Source organism: Homo sapiens, chromosome 8 (assembly GCF_000001405.40).
Source record: "Homo sapiens chromosome 8, GRCh38.p14 Primary Assembly".
NCBI classification, from domain to species: Eukaryota; Metazoa; Chordata; class Mammalia; order Primates; family Hominidae; genus Homo; species Homo sapiens.
In genome coordinates this window covers 136,440,422-136,442,759 of record NC_000008.11, presented here as the reverse complement: position 1 = coordinate 136,442,759, position 2,338 = coordinate 136,440,422, and positions in this window count along the sequence as shown.

Here is a 2,338-nt window from a genome sequence, read left to right as displayed (position 1 = left end):
AGAAATATGGGACTATGTGAAAAGACCAAATCTACGTCTGATTGGTGTACCTGAAAGTGATGTGGAGTATGGAACCAAGTTGGAAAACACTCTGCAGGATATTATCCAGGAGAACTTCCCCAATCTAGCAAGGCAGGCCAACATTCAGATTCAGGAAATACAGAGAACGCCACAAAGATACTCCTCGAGAAGAGCAACTCCAAGACACATAATTGTCAGATTCACCAAAGTTGAAATGAAGGAAAAAATGTTAAGGGCAGCCAGAGAGAAAGGTCGGGTTACCCTCAAAGGAAAGCCCATCAGACTAACAGCGGATCTCTCGGCAGAAACCCTACAAGCCAGAAGAGAGTGGGGGCCAATATTCAACATTCTTAAAGAAAAGAATTTTCAACCCAGAATTTCATATCCAGCCAAACTAAGCTTCATAAGTGAAGGAGAAATGAAATACTTTATAGACAAGCAAATGCTGAGAGATTTTGTCACCACCAGGCCTGCCCTAAAAGAGCTCCTGAAGGAAGCGCTAAACATGGAAAGGAACAACCGGTACCAGCCGCTGCAAAACCATGCCAAAATGTAAAGACCATCGAGACTAGGAAGAAACTGCATCAATTAATGAGCAAAATCACCAGCTAACATCATAATGACAGGATCAAATTCACACATAACAATATTAACTTTAAATATAAATGGACTAAATTCTGCAATTAAAAGACACAGACTGGCAAGTTGGATAAAGAGTCAAGACCCATCAGTGTGCTGTATTCAGGAAACCCATCTCACGTGCAGAGACACACATAGGCTCAAAATAAAAGGATGGAGGAAGATCTACCAAGCAAATGGAAAACAAAAAAAGGCAGGGGTTGCAATCCTAGTCTCTGATAAAACAGACTTTAAACCAACAAAGATCAAAAGAGACAAAGAAGGCCATTACATAATGGTAAAGGGATCAATTCAACAAGAGGAGCTAACTATCCTAAATATTTATGCACCCAATACAGGAGCACCCAGATTCATAAAGCAAGTCCTGAGTGACCTACAAAGAGACTTAGACTCCCACACATTAATAATGGGAGACTTTAACACCCCACTGTCAACATTAGACAGATCAACGAGACAGAAAGTCAACAAGGATACCCAGGAATTGAACTCAGCTCTGCACCAAGCAGACCTAATAGACATCTACAGAACTCTCCACCCCAAATCAACAGAATATACATTTTTTTCAGCACCACACCACACCTATTCCAAAATTGACCACATAGTTGGAAGTAAAGCTCTCCTCAGCAAATGTAAAAGAACAGAAATTATAACAAACTATCTCTCAGACCACAGTGCAATCAAACTAGAACTCAGGATTAAGAATCTCACTCAAAGCCGCTCAACTACATGGAAACTGAACAACCTGCTCCTGAATGACTACTGGGTACCTAACGAAATGAAGGCAGAAATAAAGATGTTCTTTGAAACCAACGAGAACAAAGACACCACATACCAGAATCTCTGGGACGCATTCAAAGCAGTGTGTAGAGGGAAATTTATAGCACTAAATGCCTACAAGAGAAAGCAGGAAAGATCCAAAATTGACACCCTAACATCACAATTAAAAGAACTAGAAAAGCAAGAGCAAACACATTCAAAAGCTAGCAGAAGGCAAGAAATAACTAAAATCAGAGCAGAACTGAAGGAAATAGAGACACAAAAAACCCTTCAAAAAATCAATGAATCCAGGAGCTGGTTTTTTGAAAGGATCAACAAAATTGATAGACCACTAGCAAGACTAATAAAGAAAAAAAGAGAGAAGAATCAAATAGACACAATAAAAAATGATAAAGGGGATATCACCACCGATCCCACAGAAATACAAACTACCATCAGAGAATACCACAAACACCTCTACGCAAATAAACTAGAAAATCTAGAAGAAATGGATACATTCCTCGACACATACACTCTCCCAAGACTAAACCAGGAAGAAGTTGAATCTCTGAATAGACCAATAACAGGCTCTGAAATTGTGGCAATAATCAATAGTTTACCAACCAAAAAGAGTCCAGGACCAGATGGATTCACAGCCGAATTCTACCAGAGGTACAAGGAGGAACTGGTACCATTCCTTCTGAAACTATTCCAATCAATAGAAAAAGAGGGAATCCTCCCTAACTCATTTTATGAGGCCAGCATCATTCTGATACCAAAGCTGGGCAGAGACACAACCAAAAAAGAGAATTTTAGACCAATATCCTTGATGAACATTGATGCAAAAATCCTCAATAAAATACTGGCAAACCGAATCCAGCAGCACATCAAAAAGCTTATCCACCATGATCAAGTGGGCTTC